Here is a 22524-nt window from a genome sequence, read left to right as displayed (position 1 = left end):
CGTACACATCAAGTTTTACACCCCTTTCACTTTGTTACTTTCCTTTTGTGTTTGCTATCACCTTGATACTATCCATAACATTTTTAAGCATATGTTTTAAGTCCTGAAAAGGTTTGGTCGTACATACAAGATTTCTCTTAAAACATTTGTGTGAGGTTATCTTGTTTATTTATTTATTTATTTTATTCCTTCTAGAATATCCGTCATTTAGTAATTCATCTTAATTTCCTAGCAAGTCCTTGTTAGATATTTGCTTGGTGAATGAATGACACCAACTGTAGAACAGACACAGTGTTTACAAATGAGGATACCAAAATGAACAAAATATGGTCCTTTTGTAGTTTAATGGGTATATGTAGAGTTGTAAGGAAACTGACCAAGTTGTTGTAATAAAGGGCATAGAAAGTTCTTTGAAAACCCAGACGCAAATAGTTCATTTACTTTGCGGAGACTGGGAAGATTTCACTAAGATGATAGCGTTTGAGCAGGTCCTGAAGGTGAGTAGATACTTGATAGTTGTAGGCTTTTTGCACGAGAGGGTAAGGAGCATTGTGGGGTGGCAACATGATGTGGTCACAGGCCTGGTGAGGCACTAAGCCGTCTAAGGGGAGGACGCTAAGACTGGTTGGTAGCAGAGAAGAGAAGTAAAGTTGAGATAAGATTATAATTGATCACTGTTAAGGAGTTTAGACCTTTATTTACCTTTTAGGTGACTGCGAGTAAGGATAAGCCCCATTATTACAACTTAAAATAATTATGTTAAATGTAAGAGTGACTGGACTGGAAACAATGTTCTGGAGCAGAGAGACCACATAGATCAGGGATCCAGCCCCAGCCTCCCTACATTGAATTTGAAAGGATCTTTAGTGTCAGGATTGTTCAGATTCCAGATAAGAGTAATTCAGAGGTATAGTGAATTCAGCTGTTTCTAATGTATTGGGAGGGCGGAGGAGGGAGATGCAAAGTGTCCTAGGGGTTTCTGGTTTGAATGATGGGTTGAGGATACTATGAACAGAGACGCCAAAGGTAAGTGTGTTCAGGGTCGATGGTGAGGTGATTGATGTAGCTGCTAGAGGGAGAGGAGGGCATAATCCATTTGATTTTTGAATGTTTTGGTTTTGAGTGCTTTTAGGTGGTTGGTTGGGATTTTTAAAACTTTGGAAAATCCGCCTGGTAAATATATTATCTCACAGGACCTACCATCTGTCACCAAAGATGACTATGATACATTCCTAACTCGTCCTGTTTTTACTTTTGCTCTTGCAACTTATTCTCCACAAAATGCATCATTCTAAAACAAGACTTGGCCGGGTGGGCGCAGTGACATGCTGTAATCTGAGCACTTTGGGAGGTCAAGGTGGGTGGATCACTTGAGCTCACAAGTTGAGACTAGCCTGGGCAAGATGGCAAAACCCCATCTCTACTAAAAGAGTAGCCGGGCATGGTGACGCAAACCTGTGGTTCCAGCTACTCGGGAGGCTGAGGCAGGAGAATCGCTTGAACCTGGGAGGCGGAGGTTGCAGCGAGCTGAGATCACACCACTGCACTCCAGCCTGGGCAATAGAGTGAGACTTTGTCTCAAAAATAAATAAATACACAAAACATGACTCAGATTCTGCTTCCTTTTCTTTTCAAACAGTAGTTTCCCATCTGAATTAAATCACAACTACATGGTAGACCACAGGACTTTATCTGATTTGGTCCGCCTTTCCAACCTCATCTACCTCCATCCCTCCCCGCTTGCTCACTAAACTCTAAGGTGGTTCCTCCGTCTCCCAGATATTTTTGTAGGTCTCTCTTTTTTGAGATGGGGTCTCGCTCTGTCACTCAGTCTAGGGTACAGTGGTGCAATCTCTGCTCACTGCAACATCCACCTCCCAGGTTCAAGTGATTGTCCTGCCTCAGCCTTCTGAGAAGCTGGAACTACAGGCACCTGCCACCATCCCCGGCTGATATTTGTGTTTTTGTAGGGATGAGGTTTCACCATGTTGGCCAGGCTGGTCTTGAACTCCTGACCTCAAGTGATCCGCCTACCTCGGCCTCCCAAAGTGCTAGGATTACAGGCAATGACTCACCACGCCCGGCCTTTGTAAATCTCTTATAAGTGCCTTTTTCAGAACAGTTTCCCATCAAGTCTTTTCATTCATGTCAATTTTATCAGTATATTTATTTGCTCGTTGTGCCTACTTTGTCTTTTTTCGAGACAAGGTCTCACTCTGTCACTCAGGCTGGAGTGCAGTGGTGTATCATAGCTCACCGCAGCCTCAAACTCCTAGGCCCAAGTGATCATCCCACCTCAGTAGTAGGGACCACAGGTGCATGCCACCATGCCTAGCTACTTTTTAAAAAAAAAGTTATAGAAACAGGGTCTCACTGTGTTGCCCAGGCTCCCAGGCTGGTCTCAAACTCCTTGTCTCAAATGATCCTCCCGCCTTGGCCTCCCAAAGTGCTGGGATCACACGTGTGAGCCACTGTGCCCAGCAATGCCTACTTTTTTTCCCCATCTTTATCAATGTTCACACAGTGTTTGACATTTGGTATTGAACTGATCTGAGAAAATTTTCAGGAGGAAAAATGGAGTCATGGTATGGATTTAGGAGTAGAGTTTTTAGTACCAATTAAAGTGTTTGGATGAGTATTGCAGATTGTTTATTCATTCAATAAATTTTTATTGAACATTTTTGTCTCAGTCTGTGCATATAATAGTGAAGAAAATAGACACTGTCCCTACCTTCTTTGAGTTTGAAGTCTAGTAAGTGGCAAAAGAAAAATTGGGAAAAGAAAGTGCATAAAGAAATTCTTAGACAACTCCATTACACTAAAGGGTCAGAGTAAGAATAGCCAGCAGGGAGGACGAGTAAATAGTCCAGCTCTTAATAGACGTTGGTAGAATATGTACCCTGTCTAAAGAGGAAAGAGAAGAAAGTTGGAATGGATAGATAGGAGTTAAGATATCCTGCTGTGTGGGACCAGAGAGTGGAATGAGGTTGGCGGAATGGGAGAAGACTTGGTTCAACGATCAATATAAAATTTAGAACTAAAATCACGGTGTATGTTCTTTGTATTGATTGGCTATACCAAATACAATGGCGTTTGGTCTTGGTGGAACCCCAAGCAGTAAGAAGACCAGAGGACGTGGAAGTAAGTTTAAAACGCCTACCTGAGGTTTCTCCAGGAAAGTAGGCTTTTTCTAATTGAGTTTTAAATGAAGGCTACTGGTTTTATAAGTTTCTGTATTTGTTTTTCTCTCACACCTTTTCTTCCTTTGTTATACATTGAAGAGAAAACCAGAACCAACACAAATGGGAGAGGTTCACTGCTAGGAGCAACTCGTCAGGAAATGCTCAGAAGGGTCTTCTAGCAAAATGTAGCAACTAGAACTCATTGTTGATGTGATTATCCATATATAGTTTCTATAGGTGATCACTATATATACTTCTTCAGACATTGATGGTCCAGTTAATTCTTCCAGTAATTGAACTTTAAGATGACAGTGTGGCTAAGATTTGCAGGAGAAATAATTCAGTAAAAATTATATGTGATGAAGGGGACTACCTAATCCTCTCAGGTTTTGATACATTGGATATATTGTACTGACATAGATTGAAAAACTCTTTTACAAATACTGGGAGGAGAAAAAGCATGTAATTAATAGTTTGAGACTTGGTCTTTCATGTTAAGAGTCCCTGTTTATGAGTGGATAGTTACTCAGATACTCTGAGGAGTTCTTAAGAGTTACCAGTTTCCCTCTGCCCTATCCTTTTTTTCAGTTGCTTGCTTCTTTTATCATGGTCCTTGACCTCATATATATTACTGTTCAGTTGGATGGGTTATAGGAATTTAAAACATTACCTGTAAAATCGACATTGCTTTTTTGGATTGCTTTTACAAATGGTGATTTCAAATGTTTTCTAAGAATAGACCAGATTAACATTTTTCTTAGTTATATGGTAGACATTACTCAGTTCCTGCATTTTGGTTTTAGTCTCCGTTTGTGAAATATGTCAGTTATATTCTTTTCAGCATCCTGGGCTCTCTGTTTTATAGTAAGTACAAGTTAGGAAGAATGGGAATGCCACCAAGTCTGGGGACCTGACCTCTGCAAGAAGCATTGTTTTTTTCTTCTCTTCTTGACAAGAGATGATGAAAACTTGGGATTAAATGTATAATTCAGCGTATGCAAAGGGTTTTTAAAATGTTCAAGTTGACATTATGATATAATTTTGGTTAATAATCACATTATAGTAGTATATATAGTCTTAAGTACTTTTGGAGCATAAATAAATGGAATCAACTCTAGTTTGCCAAAACTCATTTTTTTCTATATAGCTAATCTATAGTATGAAATATGTATTTGGTTACATAAAATTTTCATGTGTGTTTTCCCAGTGTTCAGTGTCTTTGCCATTTCCTTAATTTTGCATCCTCGTTATCATCCTGTTTTTATTTTGCTTTTGTCTTCACTCTAGGCTTCCCTCTGGAGGCCTGCCTTTTCCTGCTCTAGTCTGAACTGGCTGCTGTCTAGAGCAGCCGGAGCAGAACTGTACCCTTCAGACCTCAGTGCTTCTCTGGGTTGGATGTGCTCTTGGCTGGATTATCATTAATTGAACACCTGACAGCTCATGTCGACAGTTGACTATAAGTTTTCTGTTTGTCCTTTAATAGTTATTTTCCTTTGGCTAGTGCACACACTGACACATAAAATAGCCTGGGTGCTAGTGTAGGAATACTACAATGAGTTTCCTTTTTTTTTTTTTTTAAGAGTTTATCACACCATTAAAAGTAACTTATGTATTAAAATGCTAATTTAATGTGAATGTGTCTTTGATGCCATATAAACTAATAAGCGAACACTGTATTTGGTCAACAAAATGAATGGTTTCTAAACAATCTATAGGGTCCATAAATTAATTGCAAGAGATTATGTCATTGTTATATTTGTGAAGGGCCTAGATTGCTTGAGCTGAGTTAGTAGACGCTCGAGTCATAGATTAGGAATAATTGATTCTACAGTAGGTCTGGGTGGCATGGAATATAAGCTCCGTCCAGCAAGGATTTGCTCCATCGAAGATAAACGCAGCCAGCGTGGGGTAGATATGAGGTGCTCCTGTCTTCCAGCAACTCCAGACAACTGATACATGTTAGAAGACAGCACATTAATTATGAAACAATGCAGAAAAGATCTTAAGGGAGAAAGAAAGGATGACAAACATCAATAATGGTAGGAGCACCTTTCAGCAGTCAACTTGGACTTTACTTACATATGCATGAATTGAGAGGCAGACGGAAGGAAAAATTCAAGAATACACAATACAAAATAAGTGTTGGAATCTTGTTCTCAATAAAGCATACATCTTGTTATCAGTTTTGGGAGCATCGTGTGACAGGAGGTTATCTAGTATTATCTGTAAGAATCACCTGCTATGTGTACAGTTCAGTAGTAGTGCTAGGTATACTTTGGTACCTTGACGGATTACACATGAAACCTGTTGCCCAACATAAGTGTGTTACAGGGAGTTCGGCAAAGAGAAATGCATATAAGATACAATAGTTGGGAAGGATTTTCATAGAATGCTCTTGTTTGGAGGTGGGAGCATTAGACGACCATTCAGAACAAAAGGGGAAGTAGTATCTATCTTAGTGAGTGTGTCCAGAGATTTGGGGAGGTAGAAATACCTAGGTATCAACTTCAAATGAGCTATATCTGTTTCGGGGAGTAGATACGATCAGAGTGGGCCCACCGTGAGCAAAGGCTGACAGTTGATACTGTGTAGAAAGCTGGTAGGAACCCAAAACAAGACTGGAAAACAAATCTAAAATCTTATTCTGTGATAAAGACCCATTGAAAAAATCTCCAAAAATCGTTAGGAGATTTTTGGCAAGAGAATGACAGTAGTCAGATTGCAGTCACTATATACCTAGGGATTGGCAGTGGGATGCATTTGAATGGCCTTAACTGCAGGAAGTGAGAGCACTTGATATGTGGGATAGTGGGATGGAGAAGAAGGGCAGAAATCAAGACGTGGAGTGATTATGATATGGTCACGACTGGGATTTATGTGGAAGAAAGAAGGCAAGGGTGACAGGTTTTAAAAAACCAAATGATAGGTATTTTGGTGCTGCTAAAAAGAGGAGAAAGGGCAGATGGAAGGGTTGGGGCCCTGTGCCATCTAGAAAGTGGGTTCAGCACAGGAAATCCTGATGCTCGGGGAAAAGATCTTGGCTAGAGAATTGTCAGTAGAGTAAGCAACAATTGACAAATGAAAATATGAGACACAAAAGTTTGCCAGTGTCAAATGTATATAGGTTAGGGGGCTGAGATACCCTCTGTACATCCACAGAGTGATTTGGGTGTCCCCTGCAGGGCTTGGTGAGTTTGAGTCTTGTACTGGAATACGTGGAAACCATTGAAGCTCCATAGAACACTGCAGTTGCATTGATGAGTTACAGAAATGCACATCCCAAAGAAATGAACATATACTAAAGATGGCTTTATTTTTTAATATTAATTTTAATTTTTTGAGATGGAGTCTTACTCTGTTGCCCAGGCTGGAGTGCAGTGGCGCGATTTCAGCTCACCACAACCTCCGCCTCCCGGATTCAAGTGATTCTCCTGTCTCAGTTTCCTGAGTAGCTGGATTACAGGCATGCACCACTATGCCCAGCTAATTTTTTATTTTTATTTTTAGTAGAGATGGGGTTTCACCATGTTAGCCAGGCTGGTCTCGAACTCCCGACCTCAGATGATCCGCCCACCTTGGCCTCCCAAAGTGCAGGGATTACAGGCATGAGCCACCGCGCCCACCCCTAAAGATGGCTATATTCATACTTGGTCAGTGGCCAACATGAGGAAATACGGAAACCCTAAGTGGACTAACCCCATTCTCTTATTCCTCAAACTTAAAAGTTACCTAAATAGGCCCTTCATTATAGCCATCATTCAGATCCTCCTTGAGATCTAGAAATAATCTTTATTACACTGTTGCACTTTAGAAAGAATACCTAATAAAAATCAACAGCCTTCAAATACTATTTATACATAAACTATATTTTTGAATTTTATGAACAATAATGTGTACCTGGTACACAGAAATCAAGATACAAAGTGATGCAGAGTGATAGTAAATTTCTCAGTATCATCTAACAGCCATCCAACTTCTCTATCCAGGGGCAGCCGCTGTTACTAATTTCTGGTGTATCCTTCCAGAAGTTTCTGTATTCATAGATGTATATATTCTTAATACATCCGCATTTCTCAATTTTTTTTTGTGATCACTTCCTCCACAGAAGGCCTTTTAGACCTTCTTTTCCTAATTGACCCCCTGCTACTGAAATGTTGACAACCTGGATAACTGTGGATGGTTGTAAGTCTATCTGTTAAATCTGTGCTGCATACATAGAAAGAGTACGATTTTTGTCCTCTCCCTCCCCCAGGTAATTTTCTCCCCCTTGGGACGGAGATTGCTCTGTTGAGAATGCAAGATGTGGAGCAATGCCGTGGTCAGTAGTTGGGAATTTTTTTTCCCTGAATAAAATGGGAATTCAGCGGAGAGACTTTGCCTAGGTCATGATAGGATGTAGCTTATTTTTTAGAAAGGAATTACGTTAGCTACTTAATAGAGAATTGAGTGGAGGAGAGCGAGAATCAAAGCACTTAGATCAGTCAGGAGAGTTGAGAGAGGTGATGGTGGCTTGGTCTGCAAAGATCACTGTTGGCAGATAAATATGTAAGAGGAGAGACAATAAGATGCATATAGCAGTAATGGCCAAAAATAAAGCATGTCTATGTATATTAATGACAAAAGCTCTGGATACAATGCCTCTGAAGACATGTAAAGGGAGGTTGTCTGTGGAACCCACAGCTGTAGTAAAGGAAACTTTGGGAAATGAGAAACTCAAGTCTGATTTTTAACCTTGAGGTCATTGTAAGTTTTTTTTGTTAGGGATTTGGGTATATAAATAGATGATCACAAAAGGAAACTAGAATGGTCAAAATTCCATATTTATTTCACCCTCTTATTCCAGTCTCCTCTTGATTGGAGAATCTGCTCATTGCCTGCTTGCTCTACTCTTGCTGCTGCACTAGTGGTGATTGTGCACTAGCATATGAACATCTGGAGTTGAATTTCAGTGCTCTTTCTGTCAGACTGAATTATTCTTACCTAATACACAATCTTCAGACCTTCTGAGATGTTAAGGGAGACCTTCTTAAGTTGTGAATACCCTCATAGAGGTGCTTCCTGTGCTTTTGTTGAATTAGTGAACAGGCCATTTGTCTAAGATAAACAAGTTATTAGCCGAATCAAAATAGGATTTCTTTATACCACATAGTTTTTCCTGAAATAATCACTGCAAAATTATTGGGAGTGCTTTTAATGAGCCCTGATTATGACTGAAAGTGGGAAATAGTATGTGTTCTAACAAAGGGACTGCCGGGAATTCTGAGGTTCACATGGCACTTACGGATATGCTGTTAATGCCTTACCAAGGGCCAAAGGTTGGGCTGGGCTCTGATGTGGCGCAGTGCCATGCAGCTTTGCTGATGGGAAGCTTCTGCATTTACAAATGATGTGGAGGCAGGAAAAGTTTGAGATGGTAGATTTACAACTACATGTTACGGCTTTCCTTATACTTTGTTTTTCTGTTACCTATTAACCTGGTCTATATAGTCTAAATTTCTCAAACTTTGTGGCAACCAATAAATGAAGTTTTGTACATTTACAAAATGTGACAGATATCTTTTAAACTTGTCTTCTGTTTTTAGACTTTAGTCTCTTTTTAGAAGATGTGTTGTCATTCTATGTTAAAGCAAACCATTAAAACATGTAATGATCCTAATGTATTTTCATGTAAATACAGTTACTGGATACACTTCTAATTCAGAAGTAGTGTTCCCCAGTGAGGAGTTCATGCCAAATGGGGCAGCAGAAGAAAGGATCCTGACTGAGGTTGGTCATCAGACCTCATCACTGATTCGGCTTAGCACCTGTTTTCCCCCTGCATTTAAACAGATGATCAGCACATAACACTGCAGTGATATTTGAGTAATTACCCCCAGTACAACATTTTGGTATTATTTAATGCACATGAATATGTAATGGATTCTGCAAGAAATATTTTTCCTAATTTGATTTACATGTTATCTTCAAAATAAGTAACAGTAAGGTGCTATTTTTTAAATGGTTTTACGTGTGTGGTGTAAAATAAACTATTGAATATTATTTGACAATTTGTTTCCAGTGGCTTTTCATGATATATGAACATGATTGATACATTAAATAAGTAACAGTGGGATTCTTGGCTGTGGCAGTAATTTACTTGAAATATTGAACTTTTAAAGAAAATAGTGGAGGCTGTTCAGGTAAGTTCATAATAATTTCTTGAACTAAAAAATGCAATTTATTGTTACCGTAGTCCATCATGGTTTAAAAAACTTACCTTGATTATGCAGTGATCAATGGTAGTTTTTTTCTTGACTGTTTTTGTTTTGTTTTTTCTATTATGTTTGAGAAATTCATGTGATCACAAGAAGATAATTCTGGATTTTGTTTTCGAGATGCCTTTGTAGGGATTTGGGGACAAAATTAAGGTTGAAAATTTTCAGTGACATGTCTCACTTCCTAACGAGCGCTTGCCTCACTACAGTTGCCTTGCAGATAAAGCAGACAGATATTCTAAGATCCATTCCAAGCTTTTCTCTAGAATTTGGTATTTTTCAGGTCTGGGCACTTGAAATGGAGTTAATTTTTCCTTTGAGGTCATTAATTATGTTTGATAAAGTCATCATATTGTACTTTATTCAACTATGAGTCTTTGCTGAACTTCACATTTCTTTGATAACTTACAGGAAACGTTACCATATAATCTTAAGAGGAAAAGATGGCATATATACATATATATTTTTTTCCTGAAAAAGTTAAGATTCTAACTGGAATGTTTAATATTTCTTTAATATTTATCTAAACTTCAGTGTTATTTTTAATATTTATAAATGATTCCTATATCTGAACATGGTTTTATTTTAGGTATTTATTTCTCAACGTTGAGTTGCTACATGAACTTACAAATAATTTTCCCTTCTTTAAGAAAATGTAAAATTTTGCGTTTTAGAATTTAGGGTTACCCTGTCAGTTATTCAAACGTTTTGGATTTTGTTCAGTTTGACTGTTTTCATAAACGTAAGGTCTTATGAGCTCCTTTGTAGTCAGTCCATCCTGCGTCAGAGGACGTCACTGTTGTGTATTGATCACCGTTGATAAATCTGTTTTTGAATTTCATAGAAATGGAATGGTACAATATGTACTCTTTTTTCTCTCCGGCTTCTTCCACTTCACATAATGTTTTTGAAATTCATCTGTGTTGCTGCATTTATCAGTACGTGGTTCTCATTCTGCTCAATGACATATCTTTAAATGAATATGTCACATTTTGTCTGTCTAGTTTTCTATTGATATGCTCTTGGGGCAGTTTTTATTTTTGGGGCTATTGTGAATAAAGCTACTATGAACACTCTTGTACAAGTCATTATGCATTCATTCCTCTTGGGGAAAATTCCTAGGATCAGTATTGCTAAGTATAGAGTAGCTTATGTTTCTTAGAAACTCTTAGAGTATAGGGCAGTTTCTTTCTTTCTTTCTTTTTCTTTTTTTCTTTTGAGACAGGATCTCACTCTGTCACCCAGGCTGGAGTATAGTAGTGCGATCATAGCTCACTGCAGCCTTGAGCTTCTGGGCATAAACCATCCTCCAGTCTCAGCCTCCCGAGTAGCTGGGAATACAGGCATGTGCCACTGCATCTGGCTAATTTATTTTTTTTTTTTAGTGAGAGACAGGGTCTCTCACTATGTTACCCAGGTTGGTCTTGAACTCCTGGGCTCAAGTGATTCTCCCACCTCGGCCTTCCAGAATGCTGGGATTATACCTGTGAGCCATACTGTCAGTCTAGGGCAGGTTCTATTAATATGTTTCTTAGAAACTGCCAAGTAATTTTCTAAAGTGCCTGTCCTGTTTTCTTTTCCCATGAACAATGTATAAGATTTCCGTTCCTCCGCATCCTTGACAACACTCCATACTGTCAGTCATGTTAATTTTAGCCATTTTAGTGAATATATCTCATTGTGGTTTTAATTTGCTTTTCCTCATAACTTTTTTTAGTGAGCCTGACGTTGTGAACATTTTCCGATAACTTCTGATGTTGAGTACCCTTTATATACTGCTTTTTTTTTTTTTTTTTTTTGCCATTCAGCCACCTGCTTTGTAAAGTACTCCTGCTTTTTCTTTGATCACCGTACACCCATATTGCTATTTAACTAGCTTCTGTGGTTTCATTGCCATTTGATGTTAAAACTCATTGACCTATGTATAATCTGTGAATGTAAAAATGAGTTTAAACATAGATAGCTTTATTAGAATTCTGAAAAGCCAGATGATATTGGGAATCCAGAATTGAATGTTCATATTACAGATTTTTGCTTCTTACAAAATATCAGCTGAAAGATACAACTTTTTTATTAAAACATCATCTAGTTGTCCAATTAACTGAAATTATATTTTAATATGTTAAATAATTTGTTCATCTATTGAGGTTATATTACATCAAAATTAGTTTGACCTTGTGGATCTGTTGTCAAGTTCTTTCATGTTTGTTGCTTTCATAGTCATTTTCTCAAGTTTTCTTGGAAAATGTTGGCTTTTGAATTTTTTGCCTTATTCTTTTGCTATATCATTCACTGAGTCTTCACTATTTCTTTATACTGTCTGTTGAAAATACATTCTTTGTTGCTTAAAGAGAATCTTACAGTTAACAGTAGAATAGAGCAGCTTTGGTGAAAGGTAATCCTGTATATTTTGACAGCTATGAATTGCTTGTAATAGCATTTAGTTTCTTTATTGCTGTAGCAGCCAGTGTTGTGGTCTGTGCCTTTGTCATGAAGGCAAAGGATCATATTCAGTTGTAAACACTCCTCGGTATAAGATTTCTCTGGTGGTTATGTTAGATAACATGGAAATCCCTACCCCACCAAAATCTGCAGACTTCAGAGCATACCTTTCTCCGAAAGGAAACCCTGCTGTTGAACAGTGAACATCTGGTTAAAAGAATGCTGGTCCCTGTGGCTCAGCACAACAGGTGTCTGCCTCACAGGAAATCCTTGCCTTTTAGGCATCTTTCAACATATGCCATTGTTAAAATCCTGTTTCTTCAAGTTTTACAATTCGTATGTTGTAATTTGAACAGCTCAGCTTCCATGCTCATTAGATCATATATTATGTGTATTTTATACATTCATTCCTTAGGACTTACTTCTATTATATATAATTTATATATTACATAATATATAACATGTAATACATGAATAATAGTAGATCTTGTGTCTTCAGGGAAAAGAGTATCTTCTTTTACTCAAAGGCTGGGAGAATGTTACATCCATTATCACATAGTTTACCATTCTCAAAAGAATGGGGCTTCTGTATTTAAAAATATCTTTACATTTTATTTTATTCTTTTTTAGAGATAGAGTGTCACTCTGTCACCCAGGCTGGAGTGCAGTGGCTTGATCATAGCTCACTGCAGCCTTGAGCTCCTGGGCTCAAGTGATTCTCCCATCTCAGCCTCCCAAGTAGCCAGGACGACCTGTGTGTGCCACCGCACTCAGCTAATTTTTACATTTTTTGTAGAGTCATCTTGCTATGTTGCCCACGCTGGTCTCAAACTCTTGACCTCAAGCAGTCCTCCTGTGTCAGCTTCCCAAAGTGCTGGGATTACAGGCATGAGCCACCGTGCCCGGCCTTGTATTTTAATGTTTTATTCTTTAAGTCATAGAAAAGTATGTGTGGTATTGACTGTTTACATTTCTGACTATGTGAAAAATGTCTCCATTCAATCTTAGGGGGTGGTTAGAGGGGCCTTTTTCACTCGCTTTTGTTTAAATGTTTTGGCATGAGGATAAAATCCCCCGTTAATGTGTGGGTAGTTCTTAGTGACCCAATTTTATTCTGAAATTAAAGACAGACCACCTGTGTTCAAGATGGTGTCATATAGTTGTTACAGTTATACTTTTAGGATTTCACTTAAGGGAGACCTTTTCTTTTAATTTGATTATTGGTTTTTTTTTCATATTAGGCAGTATCACTTTGATGGAGATGCTGTTCTTCAGAATGAGGAAGTATTAAGTGCTGTCTTTGTCTTAGCTTTCTAGGACTTCGCATATTTTGAAATCCAAATTATGAGTATCATTGAATAGATGTGTAGTAGCTCATTGTGATGGTTTTATTAGGGTTGATTACAATGCAATGTACAATCAGCCTTGTCACTTTTTTTGTAAGACCAGTTTAAACAGAACTCTAGTAATTTTTCAAATATTGAATAGAAGTAATAAGAAAAAATGACCCTTTTAAAAATTAAATATTGGGCCGGGCATGGTGGCTCACACCTATAATCCCAGCACTTTGGGAGGCTGAGGCTGGTGGATCACCTGGGGTCAGGAGTTCGAGAGCAGCCTGGCCAACATGGTGAAACCCTATCTCTACTAAAAATACAAAAATTAGCTGGGCGCGGTAGTGTGCGCCTGTAGTCCCGGCTACTTGGGCAGCTGAGGCAGGAGGATCATTTGAACCTGGGAGGTGAAGGTTGCAGTGAGTCGAGAACACCCCACTGTATTGTAGCCTGGGTGACAGAGTGAGACTCCACCTCAATAAATAAATACATAAAAATTTAAAAATTGAAATTAAATATTGACAACTAAAACTTGGCTAAATTCTGGAAATTACTTTTCTAGGTTTTAGTAATGGTTTATAAATTGAGTATTCACATATTTGAGAAGCTGAGAATGCTTAAAGTTTTTAGTAATCCTGATGTTATTGAGAAGGATTAAGTGACACTGTTGTCCAGTTTGGTTTATGGTTCTGTTTATTTTTATTGTCAGCCTTTACTGTACCAAAGGCATAAACAGTTGTTCCTCCATTTCCTGGGAGGTTGCTTCTGCCCCCATGAATATCAAAATCTGCAGATCCTGAAGTTCCTGATATAAAATGCTGTAGTATTTCACATATCCCATGTACATCCTCCTGTATACTTTAAATTATATGTTGCTTATAATACCTCATACAGTGTAAATGCTATGGAGCTATATTGTTTAGGGAATAATGACAAGGAAAAAAGTCTATACATGTTCAGTATAGACACAACCACTCGGGGCCTAACTACATTTTCTTTTCTTCCTTTTTTTTTGAGAAAGGGTCTTGCTCTGTAGCCCAGGCTGGAGCACAGTGGTGTGATCTCAGCTCACTTCAACCTCCACATCGTGGGCTCAAACGATCCTTCTGCTTCAGCCTGCCAATTAGTTGGGACTACAGGCATGTACCACCACGTGTGGCTAATTTTTGTATTTTTTTGTAGAGACGGGACTTTGCCATGTTGTCTAGGCTCTTCTCAAACTCCTGGACTAAAGTGATCTGCCCACCTCAGCCTCTCAAAGTGCTGGGATTACAGGCGTGAGCCACTGCACCTGGCTTCTAACTGCATTTTCAATCCATGGTGAATATAAGGATACAGAGTCTATAAATTCAGAGCTTGCATACAAGAGTAGATAGAATGCCAATTGCTGGTGGAAATATATAAAAAATAATTTTTTGTTCATTTATGCCATGCCTTGTTTTAAAAAATACTTACAGGACAGGCATGTTGGCTCACACCTGTATTCCTAGCACTTTGGGAAGCCAAGGCTGGAGGATTGCCTGCGCTCAGGAGTTCCATACGAGCTTGGACAACATGGCAAAATCACATCTCTACAAAAAATACAACTAGCTGGGTGTGGTGGTGCGCACCTGTAGTCTCAGCTACCTGGGAGACTGAGACAGGAGGATTGCTTGAGCCTGGGAAGATGAGGCTGCAGTGATCTGTATTCACGCCACTGCACTCTAGCCTGGGTGACAAAGTGAGACCCTCTCTCAAAACAAAAACAAAAACTCCAAAGATTTGATTATAGGGACCCCATGGGTCCTCTTGGGTTACTGGGGTGCATTAGGGTATCTGTGGATCCCCTTTACTTGCAGGCAGTCTTGTCTACAGTTTCTGCATACATATTTCACATATACTTTCTGGGGGGACAGTTTTGGGCTTCATCCAATTCTCAGGCAAATTGAGTCCCAAATGGGTTTTAACAACACTGATCTAGGGTAATGATTTCCAATATTTTTGGATCATGGACCCCCAACAGTTGAAAATTGAGCACACAGCTGTATGTTTATGTGTCCCAAAATGCAATTGTGTATGACTGTATGAATATTTCAGGCATATTATAAAACATATATAAGGATAACTGTACACATAAACCTGTCCTCTATTGAAATGTTTTGGGTATGTGCTCTTTGAAGAACATTGATCAAGGTCTTACTAGGGTAAGAGTCTTTTTCTGATGGAGCACGACACACACATTGGTATTCCCTGCCTTGGTACAAGTGGAATACGGTTTTGCAGACACAGTGGGAGTGAGGATCCTTTGTGGGATTTTGCAATACAAGGTTTCAAGCTGTGTTGTGCTGAGGTATCAACAATCTGTACAAGAGGGCCTGTGGAAATAAGGAGGGACTTAGCCAATTAAATTCTTAATAAATTATTAGCAGATCTGAAAATTATTTGGTATTTAGGACTTAATACTGTTTACTGTAGAAGATAAAATGAAGCTGATTTTAATTCAGTTGATGTTCTTTGAGGAAATGGAGAGTATTTTGAATTAAAAAGAAAATCCTTACTGAATGGAAATAATCAGCACGCAGCACTACATGGTATCGAAACCTCAATTACTGTTATGAATTTACTAAATGAGTTAACTCTGATTTTTCTCATTGTTTATTGAAATCAGTTCTTAAAAAGGCTGAATCTGATTTCATTGTATTTCTAGGGTGATAAAAGAAAATGTGGCTGAAGTTACCCGAAGTTCAGCTTGCAGTGTAATTCAGAAGAGTTAAGACCAGAAGTACTGGAATCATACTTCCTTTCAGGTCAGTCCGTATCTGCTCATTATTTTCTAACAGATCCTTGAGTATTCGTTTCTTCCTAGTTTTTTCTAGTCAATTCTTCCTGATTCTGATTCTGTGGACTGTAATGAAGATATGTAATGGTCCCAGTGTTTTGAGTCAGTAGAATATTTATGAACAGTTTATAGGTGAAGCTGAAGCCTCTATAGCTTGGCCTGTCTTCGTAGGAAACCCTGGCATCATATCTCAGCAAGGCTAGAGGGGACTCTCAGCTTCGCCTTGCCCTCCTCTTTCCTCACTGGTGTAATGCGTATATTAATTTGTCTTCAGGTAAAACTGGACTAAGAGGGGAAATGACTAAGAGGGGAAATGACATAGAGGTCTTGGAGTGAGGAGAGAGAAAAAAAAGGTCTTTGTAAAAAAATTTCCTGTTGATTTTTAATGACCTCCAAACCTAGAATTTTAAACTTGTGTTCCTTTGGAAAATATGTAATCTCTTTTTTTTTTTTTTTTTTGAGACGGAGTCTTGCTCTGTCGCCCAGGCTGGAGTGCAGTGGCACGATCTTGGCTCACTGCAAGCTCTGCCTCCCGGGTTCATGCCATTCTCCTGCCTCAGCCTCCCGAGTAGCTGGGACCACAGGCGCCTGCCACCATGCCCGGCTAATTTTTGTATTTTTAGTAGAGACGGGGTTTCACTGTGTTAGCCAGGATGGTCTCGATCTCCTGACTTTGTGATCCACCCGCCTCGGCCTCCCAAAGTGCTGGGATTAGAGGCGTGAGCCACTGTGCCCGGCCAGAAAATATGTAATCTTAAAAATGGATCCATTCCTCCTCCTCTGCTTTTTACTTTTTCGGAGAGGGGTCACAATTTTTCGGTTCTTTTGTTATGTCACTCTTAAAATATTATTGAAACATTAATGCAGTCTTTATGACAAAATTCCCATGGGTACATTGTCATCCTAATAGATCCAGAAAGTATTAAGTGTATGTCTTTTCTAGCTTTTGTCTGGTGATACTAAACATTATTGTGTCTTATTCTTGCTGCTACAAGTGGTTCTGGGGACTAGGAGTGACAGTGTTGCCTGAGAGCTTCTTGGAAATGAAGTGTCTCCCACACAGGACACAGAGTCCTGCAAGTCAAAAAGTCCGTTTTAACTGTGAAGATTAGGTCCTGTGTACTAATGAAGACGTTTCTTTCTAGGATTTGTGTGCACTTGGTTTGAGATGCACTGATGTATTCTGTAGTTTTGAGAAATTATACCTTTTCAAAGTATCTGACACCTCATGCAGCACAAAAATGTGACAGCTGTTTTGCATACTGTACCCAGCTCTAGAAAGTTAAATCTCAGGCTTTGGTTCTCAGGCCTAGACCAGCAGCATCGCCATCTGGGAGCTTCAGAATGCACATTCTCAAGCCACACCCTCAGCCTATGCAACAGAAATTTTGAGGATGGAAACTAGAGAATAATTTTCTAGTCTATGGAGATTTTATTGAAGTTAAACTTTTAAATTGCTGTATTATGTAGGTATCTGAAAATCCAAAGAACGAATCTCATATATGGGTAAGGAAATATATGGGAAAGGAAAAAAAATTGTGTACATAAGCTGTCTGTGGCATAGATCAAGCCTGTGGCATTCTGTGGCCTTCAAAGAGAGAAGGGGAGAGAGATTCTATAAGCTTATCAGGTAGATTTGTCATTGGAACTTTAGGATTTTAAAATTTTGGTTAAAATATGTGAATACTGTTACTTCAGTTAAAGTAACTCCTTTTATAGATTTTGCTTTCTAACAAAGTCAGTGAAAAGTAACCGAGGTTCACTCCAGAAACATGTAAAGAAAGTAAAATTATTAAAAGGCCAAATATTTAATTCTTGTGACATTGAATCTGCTTTTATTATAAAGAGTTAAGAAATTGCCATTTCCATGACAGTTTCCTCCATCAACAATCTTAATATTGAAGCTTGAATTTAGGTCTGCTGGTCAGTGATTCTAGTCTAGCAAATTACTTTAGGACTGAAAGCTCTTGTTTCTTTAGAAAAATATACTATGGAGATTAGATCCTGTTTACTAGTGAAGACTCTGTCTCTTTTCCAGGTCAAAACATTTTGTGGGAAATATCCTGTTCGTGACCTAGGAGAAACAAGACAGAAAACAAATCTTTCTTCATTTATGAATTTCTTACTCCATACAAGCAGTTTATGGATGTCTGGGCAATCATAGCACTTGCCATTTAAAAACATGCTACAGGGGCACATTTTCTGTGGTTAAAAATGATCTCCAGAATAAGTGTAAACTGCAGTTTTCCTTTGCATTGAGGGTTTTGGCTTTTTATTTGTAAATTAAATCAAGATGTTACCCACTCCTTGGTGTGGTGGTCTTGCTGGTTCGTGTTGGGAAGTAGTATGGCAGCAATGCACAAATTCAGAATAGCCAAGAAATCCCTCCTTTTCAACGCTCTGTGCCTGGGAACCATTAGAGGAGTTTTAAAAACCATCCCTCATAGCCCACAATTTTGGGTCAACTCTCAAAATTGGGAATAAGAAAACTGGCACTGTTGGGAGAAAAATCGTTCTTACTGAAACATGAACTGGCTCAGGCAAGCAAATAGCGGGAGTCGGCACAGGAAGGAGTGTGTGCTGCGGGGATGCGTGGTGGCGTCACCTTCAAAACTAAAGTGGTGCCAGGCGGACAGATGAGTCCTTGATCTTGTTTCCTGATCTTGTTTCCATTTGACTGAATTCTGAACCTTCATTGTCTTCACAGTCTTGCCACTTGCCTAGTGAGGCTTTTCCGAACCTGGAAGGAGACGTCTAGAAATCCCAACTTTGCTGTGTAAGGACCATTAGCTGCAAGTCAGTGGAAGTCTATAGAAAGCAGTGTGAATTCCATAGTGGTCTTGACTTCTTAGCAAGGATTTGGGATAAGTCTAAAACTTCAGACTTAAAGCTTTGAAGCATGTTAACTGCATGAAATATTAAACATTTCGAACTTCTTTAGCCTTTGTCATTTTGTGACCCAGGTTTTTCATAGTCTGCTCTATGTCTCCTGCTTTTCCTTGTTTTGCTAATCATCCTCCTTGAGCTCCACTGTTTTCATTCTGGGCATCCAATCCAGCCTTTCATGGTGTGTGCTTCATCAGGCCCCTGGTTCACATGCTGAGTGCCTTATAAGCCTGGCCAGCACTAGTATATTCTCATTAACAAACAAACAGTCAGCTTCGTTTGGGAGGGTGCTTCACTTTCAAAGCTACCCAGTATAATGCATACAATGCAGTACAAGCGGAACTCACTCAGAAGTAGCACCTGAGCTTCAAATAGACTCTCCTGATCATTCTACTGAGTAAGATTCTCCACATTTAAGAATCAATACAGGATTTACTTGCGAGGATAGTGTATAAAAATGGAATAGTTTTTCTATTTCTGGACTGAAACCAAACTCCTCATATCTAATTGTAGTTATTCAACATTATCAGAATCCCTATTTATTTTGGCAGAACAGACAAAAGGACGTGGAATGTACTTTCTGCTACAGCCATTACAGTCAACTAGATTTGAGTGCTGCCGCTGGTAAGTTAATTGAATAGCCAAGTTATGTTGTCCTTACCCAAGTAGACAGTGGAAAGGAATAATGGCAGAGGCCATGATGCGAGTCTGGCCACAGCCATGCATCCCATCTGTGGTGATCTTAGTCCTGAGATCACCTATGTCCTAGGCCACGAACTGAATCATGTACTAGTACCATATCATCTGACTTCGTAGCTTTCCAGGGGAAAAGACTAGGAGATCCGGACATGACTAGGTCTGTGTCCTCAGTCACATAAGCTGTGCTGCGTACACTTGAACTGCACTACACAACATTGCCCTGGGCCTTGACCTGTACTTCTAAATGTTATAATAAACCTTTTGGTAAGGTGCTGCCTGAGAACTGCTTTGTTTTCCAGAGGGATCATTGCTCAGGCTTTTTCCCCCGGATAATTTGAACTATTTGACGATTCCTATTTGGTTTGTATCTTAGAGAGAAAGCCCCGCCTTCCTGATAAACAGCAGGTCACCTTCTCATGTGTTCCTCTGAGGCTGTTCATTCACATCTATAGTTGGACTCCTCCTACTGTCTTCTTTACTGCTCCTGACCTGCACTGCTGCTAATTCAAATCCTCCCTTTTCCCCCAGAAAGCTATGAAATCAGATATACTACATGATTCAATTTAGTTGAAAAAGTCCAATCTTGGCCCTCATTTAGCTAGAAAACCACAAATATCTACTGTCTTTTAAAGTTTTGAGACTTGAGATATAAAAGGAAACAGACCAACATCATAGTGTTTTATTGACAAAACCATAGGAAAAGGCAGTTTTAGGATGTAAAGTAAAAATGGTTCTCTGAAATATCTACACAAACGTGAATTCTGAAAAGTTTTCATTAAAATCGTATTTCATACAATTATAAACTAATGAGGAACAAAACAATTTTCAACTTCTCCATAACCCAGACTGAGCTTGATTTATGCTTGCCATACAGAAGCAGGAACTCTTCCCAGAGAGGGTGGTGGCTCCCACACAGCTGACAGCCAGGTTTGGCTGTTACCTAAGCCCCATCTTCCCAGTCGGTGTTCAAAACAAGGGCACAAGGTCTGGCTTTTCAAAAAAAAAAAACAAAAAAAAACCGTATAGGTTCCAAGAAACTTTTTTTTTTTTTTGAGACAAGGTCTCATTCTGTCACTCAGGCTGGAGTGCAGTGGCCTTTCACGGCTCACTGCAGCCTTGACCTCCCTGGCTCAAGCAATCCTTTCACCTCAGCCTCCTGAGTATCTGGGACTACAGGCTTGTTCCACCCCATGTTACCCAGGCTGGTCTTGAACTCCTGGACTTAAGCAATCCTCCAACCTCAGCCTCCAAAGCGCTGGGATTATAGGTGTGAGCCACCACGCTCTGCTAAAAGTTCACATTTAATACTCTCTTTTAGGTCTCATAGTGTACTGGTTTACATTCTTACTACATCTTAGATTCTCTTGTTACCCTTTGAAAAGATGATAAGTGACTACAGCATATTTACAAAGTGACTGCCATCTCCACCTTTTGTGCTTGGGGAATGTGTGGCAACTGTCTACTAGAAAAAGATCAGGCCTCCCAACCCTTTCAAGGGCAGCAAACCCACACTTTATTTGGTGCTTGGGTAACTTGAATATAACATGGCTCCCTTGCTGTAAGCAAATGTTTTAGAGCTGAATTTTTCCTTTTTTTTTTTTTTTTTTTAAGCACAGAAGTTCACCAGGGCTAGTAGAAAATTTCAAGTTAAGAAAATAACTCTTGCTGGGTGCGGTGGCTCATGCCTGTAATCCAAGCACTTTGGGAGGCCGAGGCGGGCGGATCACCTGAGGTCAGGAGTTCAAGACCAGCCTGACCAACATGGATAAACCCCATCTCTACTAAAAATACAAAATTAGCTGGGTGCCATGGCGGGTGTCTGTAATCCCAGCTACTCAGGAGGCTGAGGCAGGAGAATCACTTGAACCCAGGAGGCAGAGCTTGCAGTGAGCCGAGATCGCACCATTGCACTCCAGCCTGGGCAACAAGAGCGAAACTCCGTCTCCAGAAAAAAGAAAGTGAAGTCTTTAATTTTCTTAAATAATCCTCATATGTACTATCCACATTGTGGAAAAACTGAAATACGCAGTCTGGACACTGCACTGAGATTCCGGCATACTGGCACAGACACAGCTATGTCGCATCTTACAGACTACAACAGACAACAGGCTTAACTGCAAGAGGTTTACAGACAAAACTTTACATAGATGTGCTAGAAGAATTCCAAACTGCTGTCAAAGAGAGTATAGGAATCGGTCTGAAGAGAACTCCGCCCAGTCCCTTCTGTTTGGTCACTGCAGCTGCACTCTGTATGCACCTATTAGCAACTTAACCTGTTGAAAGAAAAGAACGCAGGTGTCAGTACAGATCCAGATTTCCCCTTTCTTACAAGAAAAAACCCACAAATGGCCAAGATTTGCTTCTATTATTTGGCAATATTTTCAAGTTGCTTATCAATTTACATTGTTAGATCATTGCCATTTTAATTCAAGAAATAATTCCAAGTGCTTATAATTTTATATTACTGTTTTATTAGAGAGACTATTTTGTCCAGCTTCCTTTCATACAAGAGAGGTTAGGGACCGGCCTAAAGACATACATTTGGCAACTCCATACCAAGGCCTAGATCATGATTCAGATGGCTCCATCCTCTAGAGAGGCATCTTTCTCAGCTGCAACCTAGTTCTTTTCCTGCCGCATTATTATGTCTAACACATTGTAAACTGAGAGAGGGTGCACCTAGCATCACTACCCCAGGGAGTGCCTGTCTCTAGGACAGGTACACCAGGATTCTTGGAATTTTTTTTCTAATGTTGATAAAGTAATCTGGAGCAACAACTTGAGTAGTGACACTAAATGTGAAGAAAGGACTGTCACCTTGGCAGAGGGTGCTTCTGTCAACCTTATGAAGAGTTTATTGGGACCTGCAACAGGGCTGAATGAGTAAACAAAATGACTGTCCTACAATG

At 39.4% G+C, this 22524-nt stretch overlaps 2 protein-coding genes across 16 annotated transcripts in view; one reads left to right on the top strand and one right to left on the bottom strand.

The window, feature by feature from the left end:
• Positions 1-22517, top strand: part of PSPC1 (paraspeckle component 1) — a 111741-nt gene extending 89224 nt beyond the window's left edge. For 4 of the 13 annotated variants that reach the window (NR_003272.4, NR_156729.2, XR_941617.3 and 1 more), the window contains 2 exons: positions 15899-15998; positions 18738-18970. Coding sequence is in view for 5 of the 13 variants with exons in the window: in NM_001354908.2 (NP_001341837.1) it covers positions 15899-15965 (67 nt within the window). In the remaining 8 variants the exon portion in view is untranslated. Of the gene's footprint in view, positions 1-8859; positions 10521-15898; positions 18971-19467 lie in introns of those variants that run through there. The other 9 variants (NR_044998.3, NR_149053.2, NR_149052.2 and 6 more) reach the window with 5 other exon arrangements.
• Positions 20281-22524, bottom strand: part of MPHOSPH8 (M-phase phosphoprotein 8) — a 39783-nt gene continuing 37539 nt past the window's right edge. Inside the window, exons 13-14 of one of the 3 annotated variants that reach the window (NM_017520.4) lie at positions 22433-22516; positions 20281-21888 (exon numbers count right to left, since the gene is read on the bottom strand). In NM_017520.4, coding sequence (NP_059990.2) covers positions 21847-21888; positions 22433-22516 — 126 coding nt within the window. In that variant the 3' untranslated portion in view covers positions 20281-21846. Of the gene's footprint in view, positions 21889-22432; positions 22517-22524 lie in introns of those variants that run through there. The other 2 variants (XM_047430395.1, XR_007063684.1) reach the window with 2 other exon arrangements.

Source organism: Homo sapiens, chromosome 13, assembly GCF_000001405.40.
Source record: "Homo sapiens chromosome 13, GRCh38.p14 Primary Assembly".
Taxonomy (NCBI): domain Eukaryota; kingdom Metazoa; phylum Chordata; class Mammalia; order Primates; family Hominidae; genus Homo; species Homo sapiens.
Note: the sequence above shows the minus strand (reverse complement) of the source record. Positions and strands in the feature narration are given on the sequence as shown.